The 19,277-nt window shown below is 35.3% G+C and overlaps 1 protein-coding gene and 1 pseudogene across 3 annotated transcripts in view; both read right to left on the bottom strand.

The window, feature by feature from the left end:
* Window positions 1-19,277, bottom strand: part of IL1RAPL1 (interleukin 1 receptor accessory protein like 1) — a 1,369,273-nt gene that overhangs the window by 191,706 nt on the left and 1,158,290 nt on the right. The window lies entirely within an intron of this gene.
* LOC124905284 (uncharacterized) lies at window positions 13,454-13,563 on the bottom strand (annotated as a pseudogene).

Below are 19,277 nucleotides of genomic sequence, written 5' to 3'. Positions count from 1 at the left end.
GAACTGGTTTATTGTAAGAGTCATTTGAATTAGTTTCCAGTTGATATCAGCCATGAGCTTTTCAGCAGCGGCTCTTGTCCTAGTTTAGTATCTCATTCTCCAGTACGCTGGTGAGTTCTTTTCACAGGCATGAGCGGAGTTGGCCAGGAAGAGCAAATTCATGGTAGAAAACCCATAAAATGGACTTCCTCATCTTGACAGCCCTCTGAATGTTAAACAAAAATGTGCTCTGACCATTGGGTCCAGCTCAGAGCAGGGGCCTACCTGCCAAGACACAGTGTTTTTCCTATTATTTCAACACTACAGCTAAATATGGAATACAACATGTGACTTAGACAAAGAAAATGCATTTTTCAACCCAGACAAGATTTTTTTAAAGTGTGTCCAGTGCTTCCAACCTCCTTTTTTATGTCCTCCAGCTGTAACCCATGCTGAAGATTCATAGACTGTCTTATTGTTCCCCTATTGACTGATCCTTAAAAAGGACTCCTGATATGAACAATTCAAATTAAGTTAAGAAAGGTAGCATCTCATCCAGAGTCATTTGAATTTTATAACTTGCAACCTATTGCAACCCAGAGAGGCTGTCTCCTAATAAAAACAAGGCAAATGAGAGCCAGTAAAGGCCCTCCCTTAAAACTGCTTGGGTGTCCATCATTCAGAGATAAAGATAAAGCAATCGTCTGCATATCCAATTCTCCTTCACAGCTACACCCATATCTTATCTCCTCCAGACATAAAATGGAAGCAATGCTGGAAGACAGTAAGCCTTGGCGTCTTGTGCCTCTGGAGTATCATAGGTGGGCACAAGTTTCTCTCCAGTTTATGACTATCAATGAAAACCACTGAAACTTCAAGTAGAAAAAGAACAATGCAAAGATTATTTTAATAATAATAAAGATTAAAATTTAATTTGTTTCCTACTTTATTCATAGCACGCTTTAAGGGCTTTTTTGTTTTAAAACTGTAATTTACATCATTTGATGATATTAATTGCAGGAACTCATTTAAAGAATTTTTTTCCTTTTTCTCATGTATTCACAATGCACGCATATTAAGAAATTAATGTATTAAATACTGCCTTTGAGGATTAATGCTATTAAATATAGTAGTGAGCCTATCATTTTAAATATTTCTTCATTTTTATTCTAACATTTGTGTAAAGTATATAATATATAGTATTATATACTATTAATCTGAGGGAATGAAATAGGTGTCTTCTGTATCACTGCTTTCATTTTACAAAACTAGAAATTGTCTTGTCTTGAACCTATGCCCTGAGACAGATAAAAATGTAGCACAAAGTAGTTCCTCTTTGGTTCATTGTCTATGGTGAACAGATTAGAAATCTTATACTAAACTTACATTACTTTTATTAATACTAATAATAACATTAACTATCCTTTTAGTCCTCGTATCAATAGACAGAAGTCAGAAGTCATAGGTGGTAATTAAAATTTACTAGTGCCAATTCAAACAAACATTTAATGTTGCAATCCTTATAAATCACATTACATATATGTATGTTACTGTTACTATGAGTATTTTCATTCTGAGGACATCAGACTGTTCCTGAGCACATAGTTTCCTTTTATTATACAAACACACATTATATACGAATTAGTTTCTAAATTTCTGCTTCTCTCTAATGCCAATGAGAAAAATCACAAGATAAATTTTTAGCAATTTATTCACAATACTCTAGTTCTTAAAACAATGTTTACATTTATTACTTGCATAATTTATAATATTTTGCAAAAGATATTCAAGACTAATATAATATCCTTCAATGCCAAAAGAGAGTAAGAGGTACACTTGATACTATCGCACAAGAGCTAGGAGAGCAAATATCACTGAACTCCCATAAATAATTTATTTCATTAAAATGTTCCCTTATATTACCATGATGGACCAATTTAATCAGTTCAGAGACAAGACAGTTTTGCTCAAAAAAAAAAAAAACAAAAAACTTTTTCTTATCACTTTAGAGTATGGTCTTGAAGCTCTGAGCAATGACAAACAGGTTATTTTTCTCAGTGAGACACATTCCTTGTGACAGTTTTTGACAAACAACATCAGGATAAGTAGGTGTGCAGGAGCGACACTGAGGGATGATAGTGGGCTCAGTGTAGCCTTCTGAGCAATTACCTGATCCCAATTAAATTGTGCTGGCACTGAATATTCAAAACGACAGGATAGAAATTGACCTTCATTGTCCATCTTTATCTGGAAGTGAAACCCCTGCCACTCTGTTACATAATTACCATCAAAGCAAAATTCGCATCAGTTGCTAAGCTTCATAAATGGTTCCATTTCTTAGCGAAGAAAATCAGACAAAATTATTGCTTTGTTTTGTTTACCACCATATGACAATATAACAAAGTAGTGAATGAATGTTCATTTCCAAACTTAAATTACCTATGACTTTAATTATATATTTCTCTCTCTTTCTCTTTCTCCCTCTCTCCCTCTCTTCCTTTTGAGACTTATTTTTAAAAGAATCTTTGATTTGCAATGACATATTCTTCAAATATGCTTCTTGAACAGTAGTTTTCTTTTGTGCAGATAAATCATCTCAGCAGTTTGGCTTCTAAAGAATTCTTTAACTCAAATTCAAGGAGTAATTTTTCAAAAGAGGTACATTTCATGGAATGTTTTTGATAAGTTTTTCTCCCTTTTATAAAATACCAAACTATTTGTCCTAGAAGACAGCTACTGACAATAGAAAGAGACTTTTGTTTGCTTAAGGAGCAGGGTTAGCATTTACAATATCATGGGAGCCTGGTTTCTCTTTTGTATCTCTACCGCACACTGTCTCGCATTTCAATGAACGCTTAAATTCTAAGTAATTGTTTTGACCATTTGAAGAGTCCTTTTGTTCAAAGCTCTGAGAGATTTGGTCAATTTCAATTTGTTCTTCTAATTAATTATATATTTAGATTGCTCACGAATTTGCCATCAACAGAGTATTTTCTAACAAACAGAAGAAGAACAGAAACAAGGCTTCATGGAAGCAATGTCCTTTCTGCTCAAATATTACAGACAGGGGAATGCTACTCTATTCTCAAGAACGAATTCAGTGCCTGAAAAACTTTCTAAGTGAAATTACTGGAGACATACAGTTGAGGACATTTGACTCTAATTTCTTTGAAATGATTACAATAAAAATAAATTCAGGTTGTTAGATATTGTGCTTGCTACTGAACTAGATAAAACTAACAATCAGTGACAAAGATGTGGGAAAATGATGTGCATCAAGTGATATATACAAAATTGACAATCGGGGAAATAAGAACTAACTTTTGACTGTGTGTGGGTGGGATTGGGTGGGTGGACTGAGGAAATGCCAGGCAATGTTCTAAGTGTTTCACATACATTAGTGATTTAATAAATACTCACACTAAAGATTCCATTAGTATGCCTTATTAGTGTCTATTTCACAAATGAGAAGCAATTGCAGCACAAATGGGTTAAGTTATAACAATAGTTCTGATAATTACTTTTTTTTAGATTCAATAAAAATACAGCCAGATCAAGGCTGATCTTACACACAGCAGCTTTTCTATAATATGTTGTGTGATTGAAGAAATGCTGGCGAGAGGCTTTTCTCCCAAATTGTTTTCTTTACCTTTTGTATAAAGTTCTACAATTAAAGGTTTCTTTGGTGGGGGGGTGTCATATACTGTATAATAAAAACAGCCCCTGATATTGTATAATAGGTACTGGATTTCTGTTTGGAAAGATGGAGAAGTTTTAGAGATTGATGGTGGTGATGGTTGCACAGTGTGTGAAGGTATTTAATGTCACTGAACTGTACACTTCAAATAGTTAAAAAGGTAAACTTTATGTTATGTATATTTTACCATAAAGAAACAGTCGAAATCTGATTTCAGATTCAAAGTTTTTACTTCTAGATCCTTAGCAATGTACATAAAACAGCTTGTTTCAGTGTTTTCTTGTGCAAAGAGGGGAGAATAAAAGAACCTACATCAGGGTGGTTGTGAAGCTTAAATAAGAAATCCACGTACTATCAGAATGCCTGAGGTGATAGGCTTACAAATGTTATTCTTATACTCATTCTTAAAAGCAATGCTTAGAACTGTACCTGGCACATAATAGGTACTCAATAAAAAAATTGTTGAATGACTGAATAATTCATTATATATTATTTTTATGCATTAGTGTGCCTTAGTATCATCATAACACCTTGGTATATGAAATCCTATTTTTTTAAGACAAGTGTAGCAGGAATAGCAGAATACTGAATAGGGCAGGGAACTTAGTGTGCCAGTTTGCCTAATTCTCACTTACCTAGGACTGTCCAGGTGCCCAGTATTACTCAAAACCTAAACATGTAAGTAGCTAAATCAGTGTTTCAGCAAAATCACCTGGTGAGCTTGTTTAAAAATGTAGATTCCAGGACATACCCACAGGTATTCCGATTTGCTAGACCTGTGATGGGGCCCAAAAGTCTGCATCTTTTAAGAGTCACAAGTAAGTTTAATGGAGTTCACTGGCAGACTATTAACAAATAAGTTAAACTTTTTTATTTTGAAATAACTGTAGAATTGCATGCAGTTCTAGGAGATAATACAGACAGAGTCTATTCCACGTACCCTTTACCCAATTGTTTCTGGTGGTAACCTCTTGCAAAACCATACTACGATATCACAACCAGGATATTGCCATCGACAGAGTCCATCAATGTTAGGCTGTATTTTGAGAACCGATCTAATAATCACTAATGAAGTGGTTCTCAGCCCTGGATGCATATTAGAATCACCTTGAGAGCTTTATAAGAAATTGTCCACACCCCAGATCTGGACCAATCAAATCAGAGGCACTGACTGGGAAGCCTATCCACTCCCCATCTCGCAATGATTGTGCAGACGGATTAAGAGCTCCTGCTATATTGTGACACTTGGTTCTTCCTTGCTAGTTTCAGAGGAGAGGCCAGGTTTGTAAGCTGAAACTCACCCCATGTACTAAGGGTGAAGACAACCAAGTAAATCTTAGAAATTTATGCTTTGCCCCATTTTCAAGATTTAAGAAGTGCCCCTAACTAGAAGTCTAGAAACAGAGTCATTTAAGTTGTTACGGTGGTAAATAACTGGCCATTACCCCAAGGGAAATGATAGATTTCTCATCAAACACTATATAAAGACCATTGTCTCAATATAAAGGGCCTAGCAATAATTTTGGCATAGCCTCTTTTGTAATTATCTATCAATTATTCTACTGCTGGGTAGAAAATAACCCTTTTTGAAAATATTTAAATGTGATCATCAAATTCCTCAATCATTTTATATTTTAGGAAAGTAAGCTTTTATTCATTGTGCCACATACATTTCAAGCTGTGTGCATAATATAGTACCTAGCATTTGCAATCAAGACAATCAAGGCCTACAGTTAATAAAATATTATTTCTGCCATAACTTTTAGTAACAATACTGTTTTCCAAGTAGAAACTACTACAAGTGCTTTTCTTTTGGCATTTTGCAATATATCTACCATACATTACATACTGCTTAAATATGGTGGCAGTGTTGGTCTGATTAGATAATCCCAGTGATCTCCAAAAAAAAGAACTATGGTACAGATGAAGGTAGCTCTGTAGGCCATTTGAGTATTTGTACTATCAATAATAACCATTTTGAAAACGCAGTGTTGTCATTAACTGCAAAGGCCAACCTCAGATCTGGGAAATGTCATAATTATTTTTTCAAGCTACATGTCAAATATTAAAATCCCAACAGCTTAAAAGACCTTACAACAACCACGTGTATAACCATTAAATTACAGGACCAATTAAAATGCTAATGACAACAATTACACCTTTAATGTCTGAGGGTAATATGAATGAAGCTAGGTGGTTTTCTAAAATGCCACATCTTCAAAATAAGTTATGACTCATTGAATCCTAATTAATTAACTCTTCATGACATTACTGTCCAATGTAATTATATTTCTTTATTCTCCTTTAGTTTATCTCTGGTCTCTAGGGTTTAGTTGTTAAAATAACTCAAAGATGGACACTTTGTTCTTATTAACCCCAGAATACATTTCCATGGTGCAGGTAATTCTCAGGCTGTTTAACCTCTGCATTAGCCCAAGAGGAAGCATGGGTGGTTTGCACTCTCAATAATAACCAACAGTAACTACTTCAGAACAATGTGAAACACGGTGGGTATTTTTTGTTTGTTTGTTTTGTTTTTTTGTTTTGTTTTGTTTTTTACATTAGGAATAATGGCCAATACTTGACATTTGTGAAATGAATGAGAGAAAATTTGTATTATTATTATTATTTTTTTTTTTTTGAGAAGAGTTTTGCTCTTGTTGCACAGGCTGGAGTGCAATGGCGTGATCTCGGCTCACTGCAACCTCCGCCTCCAGGGCTCAAGCAATTCTCCTGCCTCAGCCTCCCAAGTAGCTCGGATTATGGGCACATACCACCATACTCGCATAATTTTTGTAATTTTTTAGTAGAGACGGGGGTTTCACCATGTTGGTCAGGCTGGTCTCAAATTCCTGACCGCAGGTGATCCACCTGCCTCAGCTTCCCAAAGTGCTGGGATTACAGGCGTGAGCCACTGCGTCTGGCCTGTATTTCCATTTTCAGTTTTCTTTCTTCTTTCTTCCTCCTTTCATTCCCTCTCCTTTCTTTCACCTCTTCTATTTTCTTTCCCCGTCTTGCCATATTTTGTAATGTAATTCTCATATGTTCATCAAAATCTCTTAAATTGGAAGACAGGAAAGTCTCTGGCCAGTATCAACCTTAAACAAGTTTAATTAATTTGGAAAGTTTCTTATGAACACAAGTATTTCTGCCAGAAGAAAGAATTAAACAATGGTAGATTAAAACTTCAGTGTTTCTTTGTGCCTTGGAGGGAATGTCTACTTGATGAATAGCTAGATATCTGTGAAAGAGATAGGCAAATAAAATAAATAATAATATAGGATCCATTATTGGGGTTACTGGTTCCACTGCTTTCTCCATTTGTTTTATTTATAAAAATGATTGATTGAATTTTTTCACTCCCTTCTGCCATCTTCCATGGCTATACATATTAAGACAAGAAAAAGTTCTTTGTTTTTGACCCTCTTCTTCCTCCGTCTATAAGATGCTAATTAAAAAAAATTAAAATTGGAAAGTTTCATCATTAAAGAAACATTTCTTTAGAAGCCCTGACCTTTCCCACATATATTGGTGTCAAACAGTTTGTCCATTTGATATGAGTTGTTAGTATTCAACAATTATGAATGTACATTCTTATATTTTTTTTCTAATTGACTCTACATTTTAATAACTTTGATGTAGTTAGGAAAAAACTCTCCATTAGTTTTATTGCTATAATATTTTAAACAGTTGAAGGACAGGCTAGAAACTAATTGACTTTTTGTTTTGTTTCTAATTACTTATCTAAAACACATATCACTTGAGTCACATACCGTAGTCAAATTGCTTTCTATTTCTCTTTAGATACATGCAGTCACAGCAGCCAATCAAATGTTGCTTAACCCTTGGATCACTTGCCTTCTTGATACGATTTGCATGATTGGAAATTGGATAGAAGAAATTTCATGGAGGAACAGAATAGAAAGAAATAGCTCCATATTATATTTCTTAGCACTTCCCATTAGTTTATGAACTGCTTGTCAAATATTTGGCTGGGATGTCAAAAACTAATAATTCTATTGGCATGGCCGGAGAGGTAAGAGTCAAAATGAACCTGAAGCTTCAACTTCAAGAGATTATAATTTTATGAGCTATGCAACTGCCTGTCTTTTCTCTTCTTTTTTGTATATACTTAAAAATATTAATTAATTTATTTTGGCTATCTGTTAGTTTTCTGGGCCTGCAGTAGCAAAGAACCACAAACTAAGTGGCTTAAAACAACAGACATGTATTGGCTCATAGTTCTGGAGGTTAGGAGTCCAAATCAAGGTGTTGGCGGAACCACGATCCCTTTGAAACATGTAGGGGAATCCTTCCTTGCCTCTTCTTAGCTTCTGGTGCTCTGTCAGCAATCCTTGGCATTCCTTGGCTTGCAGCTGCAGCACTCAATCACTGGCTTCATTACCCAGTGGTGTTCTCTCCTATGTGTCTAGATGTCTCTTCTTATAAGGACACTAATCATACTGAATTAGGGCCCACCCTACACCAGCATAACCTCACCTTAACTAATTATGTCTCTAATGTCCTTATTTCCAAAGAAAGTAACATTCTGGGGTTAGGATTTCAACATATCTTTTTGGACGAATATATCCAATCCATAACAGATTATAAAAGTGATATATGCGACCGGGCATGGTGGCTCATGCCTGTAATCCCGGCACTTTGGGAGGCCGAGATGGGTGGATCACCTGAGGTCGGGAGTTCGAGACCAGCCTGGCCAACATGGTGAAACCCCGTCTCTATTAAAACTACAAAAATAAGTCTGGCATGGTGGTGGGCGCCTGTAATCCCAGCTACTCGGGAGGCTGAGACAGGAGAATCGCTTGAACCTGGGAGGCAGAGGTTCCAGTGAGCCAAGATAGTACCACTGCACCCCAGTATGGGAGACAAGAGTGAAACTCCGTCTCAAAAAAAAGAGAAAGGTGATATATGCTTATTTAGAATAATTCAAATAATACAATAATCTGCAAAATAAAAAAATAAAGTTATCCACCCTCACCTCTTCCCTAATTCCTGGAAATAATCATTATTAAAAATCTGTGTATACTTCCCAATTTTCCCATATACAAACATATAGATGAATTAACTGTATATATCTATGTATATATTAAAGATAATTAACAACTTACATACATCTCTCCAAGTTTCATATTATGGACATCTTTCTATTTCAGTATACTAGGAGATAATAATGATTGACATTTACTGAGAGTCAAATACACACTAGGTCTTTATTAACTGCTTTCCATAAATAATTGTATTTAATCTTTATAACAGCCCTATGAGGTAGGTGCAATTTCAGACCCCATTTCACAGACCAGTAAAGAAAGGAACAGAGAGGTTAAAGTAACTTGTCCAAAACCATACAGTTAATAAGTGGTAGAAGTGGGATTTGATCCCATTGACTGATGCTAAAGCCAGTGATCTTAACCACTATACTATATTATCCACATCGCATTTCATTTTATAGTTGTTTCTCATTTGAAAGAATTTAAAAATAATAGAGACATCCGAATCTGTCACTTTGTGATGTCACTCACAAAAGATTACCATGTGTACTCTAACTAAAGTAAATGATACATTCAGATGTTAAGCACATCGTTAGCTGTCAATTATCCCTGGGGTAATTACCTGTTTCCAGATAATTTTATGTATTTAATATCTGTGGTTTTATTTACTTTAAACAATTATTATTCAACATTTAATGAGCACTTTCTTTGGACTGATCTTACCAGAGAGTAGAAAATAACACACTACATTTTTTGTTCTCAAAGTATTGACGGGAGAGAAAACTATGTAAACAATAATTGAAAAATAATATTGGAGGTGTACTGGGAGTATGAAGAAAGGAGTAACCAACTTCATGGTGGGTTTGTTGGGAAATATTGAAAAACTGAGGTCTTGGTAAGTCACATGAGTCTTCAATAATTTGAGCAGGTGTTGTCAGGTTGATGGGGGTAAAGGAAGGTGGGGTTGGTGGGTGTGGTCGATTCTGAAATGGCTCCTCATAATCCCAGCCTCCTAATAGTTGCATCTTTGTGTAATTCCAACTTGTTCAGAGTGGGCTAAACCTAGTTGCCTACAAAATAGAAAATGTCAAAGATGATGGAATATCACTGTAGTGATTAGGTTATGTAAGATTGTGAACTTCATCTTGCTAAAAGACTCTCTTCACTGTTGGCTTTGGTGAAGCAGCTGCCATACTTATGAGGCAGCTGCCTATAGAGAAGCCCTTGTAGTAAGGAACTGAAAAAGGCCTCTGGCCAACACCTAGTTAGGAATTAAGGCCTTGAGAAACTAAATTCTGCCAACAACCACTGAGTGAATATAGAAGCAGATCCTTCCCCGGTTGAGCCCTCAGATGAGACTGTAGTCCTGACTGACACCTTTATTGCCATCTATGAGACACTGTGAAGCAAAGGACCCAGCATGGCCATGCCCAGGTTTCTAACCTACAGAAATTGTGAAATAATAAATGTGTATTGTTTTAAGCCATTAAATGTGTGCTAATTTGTTACGTAACAATAGACAGCTGATGCAGTGTGTTTTATAAGCAGTGAGAATTGTGTAAAACATATGTGTCCATGCACATACACATCATGCTCATGCATATAGGTGTGAAACATCCTGCTATGCCTTGGTAGCATAGTATAGCTGAAACTTAGAGCACAAAGGTGACCAAGCTAAAGGAGGCTGGAAAGGAGGCTCAACATATGACCACAAAGGATACTTATGTCAAGTTAGTATGTTTGGACTTCAGGCAGTCTTGTATTGTTAAAGGCTGTTGCGGCTAATCGTTTCTGTGTATTAAAAAAACACACTTGGGAAGCTGGATTATAGATGTGCAAGAATTCAGGCAGAGAGTCTTTTGGAATGGTGATAATGGACAGGTAATGGGAACATGAGTCAGGGTAGTGGGGAAAGAAGACCCAGAATAGAGTTTTGAGTAGCATTTCAGTTCACTTATCAGATTTTAATGGATGGGACTGTGAGGGAGAATAACTCCCAGGAATTTTGCTACATGACTATAAGAATTTTGGAGCCATATATTATGAAAAGCCAGTTTTGAATGACAGATAATGAGATCAATTTATCCAGGATGAATCTGAGTTATCAGTGGGAGATTTCTCCTGGTGTGCTGATATGGGCCTGAAGGTCAAGAAAAAGATCTTGCCTAAAGAATATATGAAAAGCAGTAAACGCACTTGAAGGAGTAGAATTTTCCAGAACAGCACATAAAATGAAAAGCAAAGATAATGCATGACAAATCACAGGATTCAAATATGTAATGGAGGAACAAAATACAGAGAAACAGCCAAAGAGACAGCAAATGAATAGAGAAAAAGTTGAAGAACAGAGAGGGAAGTAGGTACAGCATCTCAAGAGGACAGTTGTCAAGAGTGTTAAATGCTTTTGAGAAGCCATACATGATTAGCACTGCATAGTGTTCACTAACTTCAGTGATAATTTAGCTACCTTCTTATACATTTCCTTAAAGTTGCACAATTATTTCAGCACTTTTGAAAATTCTAATGCCTTAGGATTGTGATAAGACTAATCATTCTAAATGGTTTCTCCCCTCCCACCCCCATGTCATAAATATTATTATTAAGGGTCAGTTCTGGTACCAATCATTGGACCTAGAATAAATAATGTCATTCCATGCTGGGAAGTGGCCTTATTCTTCTGATAGCTTGACAAGTTTTTAATCATCCTTACACCATGCAGAGCCAGAAATAATTATTTGATTTACATGAAGTCTATAAGTGATATTAGATAACAAATAATTCTCAGTGGGAGAGAAATATGGTAGGTCTTTTAGTAGCTAAATATTATAGGTTGTCACACAAAAGGCTGTCCTTTGTTGAAACAATACCACAAAAGTTAATTTTAGTAAATCAAATTCCAAACTGGTTATTTGAATAGAAAAGGAAGTCATTGAGATGGATTCAGGTCATTAAATGTTGGGTGAGTGTATGCCTACATCAGTTTTCCATGTCTCTGTAGGGTAGGCCATTTATTTTTAGATGACATGAACTCAAATATATGTTTATTAGGAATGATGACAAATAAACAATGAAGCAAGTGCCTCTGAGAAACACCTACTAGAGTGAGGTTGTAACAGTATTGAAATTATTTTATGTATTTTTGACTGATATAATTAAATTAACTTTCATGAGTCCCACCATTTTACTTACCAGTCATTTAACTTACACAGAATGTTTTGGACATGTTAAGCCAATCTACCCGCAATTACCTGATTTCAGTTAACTTATCAATATATTCTACTATGTCATAACGCACACACTTTGATTTAGACTAGGTATCTCTCTCTTTATGGAGTCTCATTTTATAAACTCCAACCTTACAAGGAATAGATTAATGATGCTAAGGACAAATATATTGGACACATTGATAGTTTTTATTATGTCTTTTAACTCATATGTTTGAGACCACAGGGTAAAGCTAACTGCTTGATTTTCAGTTCTTTTACTTACATAGGATAAAAGAATAAATGACTCACTTTTAGAGTGATTACTTTTACTAACTTTCCTCTGTACCATTTCTAAACCAATTGGAGGAAAAATTGCAATGAAGGTAGAATATCTGGGGATGCAAAATAAACTCTCAGATGTGGAAGGACCATATCACCAAGGTTACTCAGGAAAGCATTGATTCAGTATTCAAATAATACATGAACGCTCATCTCCTTTCATTCAAGTATTCTCAAAGGAATTAGCACCATCGAAGGAGAATCTTACCTATTTAAGGAAGTGGATTTGATGACTTCCCTCAGTTAACTTTCTAATGTCTATCAAGTCTTTTTTTTTTTTTTTTTTTGAGACAAAGTCTCGATTTGTCGCCCAGGCTGGAGTGCAGTGGCGCAATCTCGGCTCACTGCAACCTCCGCCTCCTGGGTTCAAGCGATTCTCCTGCCTCAGCCTCCTGAGTAGCTGGGACTACAGGCGCATGCCGCAACGCCTGACTAATTTTTGTATTTTTAGTAGAGACAGGGTTTCACCATGTTGGCCAGGATGTTCTCGATCTCCTGACCTTGTGACCCACCTGCCTCGGCCTCCCAAAGTGCTGGGATTACAGGTGTGAGCCCCTGCGCCCGGGCCATCAAGTCTTAATCAGCAATATTTTTGATATATAAATCCAGCAGTGTTTATTTACAATAAAAGTACATTAAAAATTTGTACATCTGTGGGACCTAATATATATATGTGTGTATATATATATATATATATATATACATACACACATATATATACATATATATATATAAAATAGATAGATATAGGTAGTTACATATTATCATATATATATGTGTGTGTATATATATACACACACATATATATGATATATAGATATAGGTAGTTACATTTTTTCATGTTTTTTTGAGAGACAAGGTCTCACTCTGTTGTCCAGGCTGGAGCACAGCTGTGTGATCACAGCTCACTACAACCTGAAATTCCTGGGTTCAAGTGATCCACCTGCCTTAGCCTCCCAGGTAGATAGGACTACAGGTGTGAACCACCACACCCAGCTAATTAAAAAATAATTTGGTAGAGATGGGGTCTCACTATGTTACCCAGGCTGGTCTCAAACTCCTGGCCTCAAGTGATCTTCCCACCTCGGCCTCCCAAAACACTGGGATTATAGGTTTGGGCCACCACACCCAGCGTCCATTTTTCCATATTTTTGAAGTTACGTGCCTAAAAGTAAAATCACTTGTTAGAAGGCTTAATTTTTATTTGAGAACACGTATTATATTTATGTTATTATAAAATATATGTTCTTCCTCAGGTATTATGGTAGATTGTCTTTTAAATGGATAAGAACAGATACTATACTTGATCTTAGCCAAAAGGCCAAGAAGCCATTAAATTGTCTTTTAAAGGATGACTACCATATTCAGTAGTAAATTTATACATATAGTTTTTCAAATTGTTTTTGCAAGAACATCAGAAATTCAGTAATGATAAGCAGTTATTTATTTTGGTTAGTACATGATAATTTATTTAATGGCTGTCTCCACTGTAGACTGAAAATTTTAGAAGGAATTATACCTAATTTATTCACAGCTGTATCAATATTTTGTGGCCACATAGGTTTTTAGCCCATATTTGCTGAAATATTAGCTAGAATCTAGTTTTAGATGATGACTTGCTCTGATATAATCCACATATTCATGTTATATTTCATATGTGTATATATATATGTATATATGTGTGTATATGTATATTAATTTCAGAACAAAGCAAGCATTTGACTTTTAATATAAAAATAAGCAGAGACTAGAGTTGAGGGGATCAACTACTTTAACTCTTCATGTATAGCTTTTAGCAAACACTGGATTTCTGCTGATTCAAAGTTATTGTTTGAGAACCAATTCTCAATTTATGGATGATGCTTAGTGACCTACTCTGGATCAGCTTTTCTCATCCTTTTTTTCAATGAGATACCTGAGATAAATGGCAGGCACATATGTTTCGTTCCATGGCTATAATTACATCAGCTAGACTGTGGCTCTAATTCTATCACTCTTCCTCATGAAAAATAGCATTGATCAGATTGTAAATATCTTAGGGTGATGTAATTATAGAATGTATCTAAGTAGATTCTAATTGGTTAAAAACTAAGTTGTTCACAAAAATGAACTTTAATTATTTTTACCAAATTATAAATGCCACGTCATTACACTTGTAGGCGTATCAATACCTAAGGAGGGAAAGACCTACTGACCTAATGAAATATGGTGTATTCCTTTGCAAGTTCAAAAAATGTATCCTATATGAGGCTCATAATCTTTGTTTCCTAGTGTGGCCATTAATAAATATTTGTAATGACTAAAAATGATTTTTTTTCTCAAAATTATACCATAGCAATTCATATTATAAATTTAACCTATAAAATTAAATATCTTCTGATATGCAACTCAATATAACCACTTACTCACAATTATTTGTTTCCCAAACATTGGTTCTTGATATGTAAAGTGAAAAACAGCTATGAATACAAAGTCACGGACTACTTTCTGAAGAAAAAGTGGAAAACAGGACAGAGGATACAAATACGAAGCATCTTATGTCTAATCAATTTACCATCTGCCTCTTAATGTTTCATGTTCTTACGTTACCCAGCTTTTCTTAAAATAGAAACGAAAAGTTTTCTAAGAAAGAAAAGATAATTTCAAAGGGAAAGTGACACATAAAGGAGGCTCTTTGGGTAAGGAGATGGAGAATTGAGGTGTCACAAGGAAAGAATGGAATGATTGCCTCCTCTGAGAAGATTCTGGATGTGCTCAGGAAGAAATGCAGTTACCAGAAAACTAAACCAAGCCACCAGTGAAGGGCAGAAAAGAGAAAGTCCAACACTCCAGAGTTAAGAAGAGGGTCCATATATCAGGAAATAAGAGTCAGGATAGAAGCCTAGTGGCTTTGGAGATTAGAAGATTCCACATACCCCCACATAAAACAGTTAGAAGGAACACTCACTATTCCCGAATAGCTTCCAAGAGACTGGAACACTGTAGGGTGTCAGCCACCACATAGAATTTTCCAAATTAATATTAGCACATGATGTTTTCTGTTAAACACGACACTTCCTAAACATTGTATTGAATGTTTTTGACAAAGAAAGTCTGGCTATCTGAGAGCTGCATAAAGTTTCAAACCAAGTGATCCCTTCTGATTGAAATTTTATTGGTGGTGGTGCTGATGTCTTGTTTTGTTTGTTTTCTTTTATCATGGACATTTACAACATAAAAGATTGTATATAGTATGCATGATTTGGAGGCTTCAGTAAGAGCATTTTCATTTTTAAAATTACTGAACTTTTTAACATAAAAATTGCTTATTTAACTCATACATCATTTCAAAGGGAGTTTATATAATTTATGTGAAAGGAATACATTTAGACCAATCATTATTCAAACAGCTTAAGAATATTTAGAATAGATGGTTTCTTTTGTCTATACAATGTTTATATAATGTTTCAGTTCCACACTACACTTTAAAAATGGTGACAAAAATTTAAAGCCAATATATTTCATTGGCAGCTTAAATTGTACTTTGACCTGGCTAGGGAGTCAGTATAATGTTAAGAGTGAGTATAACAATATCCCCTAAGGGATCCCACAGAACAGGCCCAAATCCTATTTCATGGCCTACAAGGTGACTCCTAGTCTGGGCTCCATCTCCCTTTACAATTTCATTCCCATGCTGCTTCCTGCATGCCCTCCAATTTAGCAACTCAAACTTTGGGCAACTTCCCATCAATTTATTCTCCCTTTCATTTCTTCCTCATTTTGCTCACTATATGTCCTTTGTTTAAATTCTCTTTCTATTCTTTCTTTAAATGATGAAGTCATCTTCATATTTTAGATTTTAACAAAAATATCAATCTGTCTCCAGACTTTTCTTAGATGACTTTTTTTTAGATGACTCTAAAACAGAAAGGCAGTATGGCCTGGGGGCCAAAAACCTAGGTTTTGGACCCATATTTCTTCCTAATTTTGCTCACTATATGTCCTTTGTTTAAATTCTCTTCCTACTCTTTCTTTAAATGATGAAGTCATCTTCATATTTTAGATTTTAACAAAAATATCAATTTGTCTCCAGACTTTTCTTAGATGACTCTAAAACAGAAAGGCAGTATGGCCTGGGGGCCAAAAACCTAGGTTTTGGACCCATATTTCCCGAGTTAAAATGTTAGCTCCACTGCCAACTAGCCCCATGGCTTTGGATAAGATGCATTATATCTTAGAGTCTAAAAACATGGAAATAATATCCATTCCCTCTCACTCTGTTAGTACATTTAAAGCACTTAAAGCAGAATGTGACCCACAGTAATTACTCAGTTAAGATTAGATGTTATAATTATTACCTCCCAAAGAAAAATTAATGGCATCATCAACTGTGTCTCCATATACTAATTGCATACCTCTATTATTGTACATTTTATTGGCTTAGAGTTCAATATGTTCACATCCAGCCTTCTTACTAGGTTTAAATTCTATTGTGTGTTTCCAGAAAGTTTTTGGTACCTGGAAAATGTTTGATGATCAAATGTGCTTTTTGAATGATCTGTCCATTATACTAGTTGCCATCAATGATGTCTTTTTATGGAAAAAAGGAAAAAGGATATCTTCATGAAGGTTGGAGGCATTCAGCACATACTCTGGAATATGCTCGGCATTATGAACAGTGAAACTAATGGCATGTAATCTACACATTCTGCTACAGTTGTTTCTGGCTTTATAAGCGTCCCAACGGCACATGACAGTAATGAAATCATGGAGGTAGCAGAGACAAGAATTAGTCTTTAGTAATCATATCTTAATATGTTAAATTGTAAAATCTAACATTAAAATATCCATGAAGTCTCTTTAAGATTGGGGGAGAAAAACAAGCTCTGTAGTACTAGCGTTGAAATGGCCTGATTTGTTTTGTAAGTTGCCGCATTTGCCAGTGAAGTCAAATGTGGAGATGAAGGCTTGCAATAAGATAACTAAGCACAATTACTTTTATAAATGTCTGTCTCCTGTATCATACAAAATAGCTTATGAATTAATTTAATTTGCTATTTTTTCTTAAAGCCACTTTTTCCTCTTTTTACAATTAGAGGTGATTAAGAAAGTATTTGGAAGACCAAAGCATTTCTATACTTTTCATCCATTTAGTTCCAATTTCCAAAAGATAACCTAGACCCCGGGACAGATGGCTCTCCAAAAATCTTTTTACATGGAATTTGTGTTGAAGTCATTTCAGGATGACTCCACTGTGACTTTAGTCTTCCTAATGAGCTGGCACACTGCACAAGGGAGATAACTGTTAGAAAGCTCAGGGTGTTCAATAAGAGCCCTCTTGATAAATAAACAAATATGCATTATTTATGCCATCATGGACAGGCCAATGGAATAATGGTATTTTCAATTTTATTGGCAAAGTATTTGGAATTTACTGTTAATTGGCATGAAATATTGTTGTATGAAACATTCATATTCACCATAGCAACATATTTATCATATCAGACTCACATCTAATTAAGGCTGTCCTGGCTTCAGAAATTCACAATGGAGTAAGAGCAAAGAGCACATAGCCATCCAAACAGCCCAGTAGCCAGAGCATCAAGCTGTTTGAGTCCCTTCATCACCTCTCAATTCTGAAACAGCTACATAATTAAAGCCAATATTATGTGCTTGATTATCCAGTGGGTTCTATCCTGAATTACCTCAACTCAGTTCAGCCTTTGTGTGTGAAGTCTGATCATATGGCTATTTCAACAATTATTTATTGAGGGCCTATTATGTTTCACTTGCTGGCATGGTGCTTTGGCTATATCACTGGAAAAGACCAGCCTAATAGTTTATTGTTTTGTTTTTTTTAATATAGGGTTTCATGATTAGTAAAGAATGAGCTTTCAGCTGGGTGCAGCGGATCACGCCTGTAATTCCAGCACTTTGGAAGGCCAAGACGGGTGGATCACTTGAGGCCAGTAGTTCAAGACCAGCCTGGCCAACAGGGCAAAACCCTGTCTCTACTAAAAATACAAAAATTAGCCAGGCATGGTGGCACATGCCTGTAATCCCTGCTACTTGGGAGGCTGAGGCATGAGAATCACTTGAACCCAGGAGTCAGAGGTTGCAGTGAGCTGAGATCGCGCCACTGCACTCCAGTCTGGGTGACAGAGTAAGAATTTGTCGCGAAGAAAAAAAAAAAAGAATGAGCTTTTTCCTGCACTGTCTGCTACTAAATGTTTCACAAAGAGAGTCATTCAATATGTTATCAAATATCTTATGAAACCTCAAAACACCCAGGAATATTTTTTGGTAATTCTTTGGCTTCCCTTCCTTACAAGTTTTGGATTCCTTTACAGAAACTTGCTCCACACATATGTAGAGAGAAAAATTCTTTTTATTGCAAAGAAATGACTCATTCAGAAAATTATTCATTAAATTATGCTTATTATCAAATTTCTAAGTTCTTTCCTTACAATAAAATTATTTCCCTAAATGATACATTTTGCTAATGTATTAATAATTCAACAGATTTTTCTGCACTTAGCCAAAAATTCTTAAAATTTATTATCATAATTTCTTAGCAAATTATTAGAGTTTGAAGAATAGAAGCATTTTAACAGTATGCTATTTAGGAATTTACATATTGCTAGTTAATTCCACAAGTGCCAAAATATGCCACCCTTATTAATATTTCTCTTATTTGGGGAACTCAGATTACAAAGAGAAAAAGTGAATTAAGAAATATAAAATTGTCTCTTGACAATTGCACTAATATGATGTAAAATAATAAGCTAGGAATTTTGATGTCTAAAAATAATGTTTATCTTAGCAATGACTGTGTATGCATAGAAAAAAATCATGAAGAACATGGCAGTTTTACTTGCTGAGAACGAAAATAACTTGATAGTGACCAAAACCTACATTGGTATGGTAGATAGCAGAGACTCGACTTTAAAGCACACATTTTAAATGAGGTATATTTTCCTCATCAGCAGTATACTTTTACATATAGGACTGTAGTAATGCTAGTGAAGGCCAAAGCTACTTAAAAATTAAAGAATAGGGCTGGGCATG

Source organism: Homo sapiens, chromosome X (assembly GCF_000001405.40).
Source record: "Homo sapiens chromosome X, GRCh38.p14 Primary Assembly".
Taxonomy (NCBI): Eukaryota; Metazoa; Chordata; class Mammalia; order Primates; family Hominidae; genus Homo; species Homo sapiens.
Note: the sequence above shows the minus strand (reverse complement) of the source record. Positions and strands in the feature narration are given on the sequence as shown.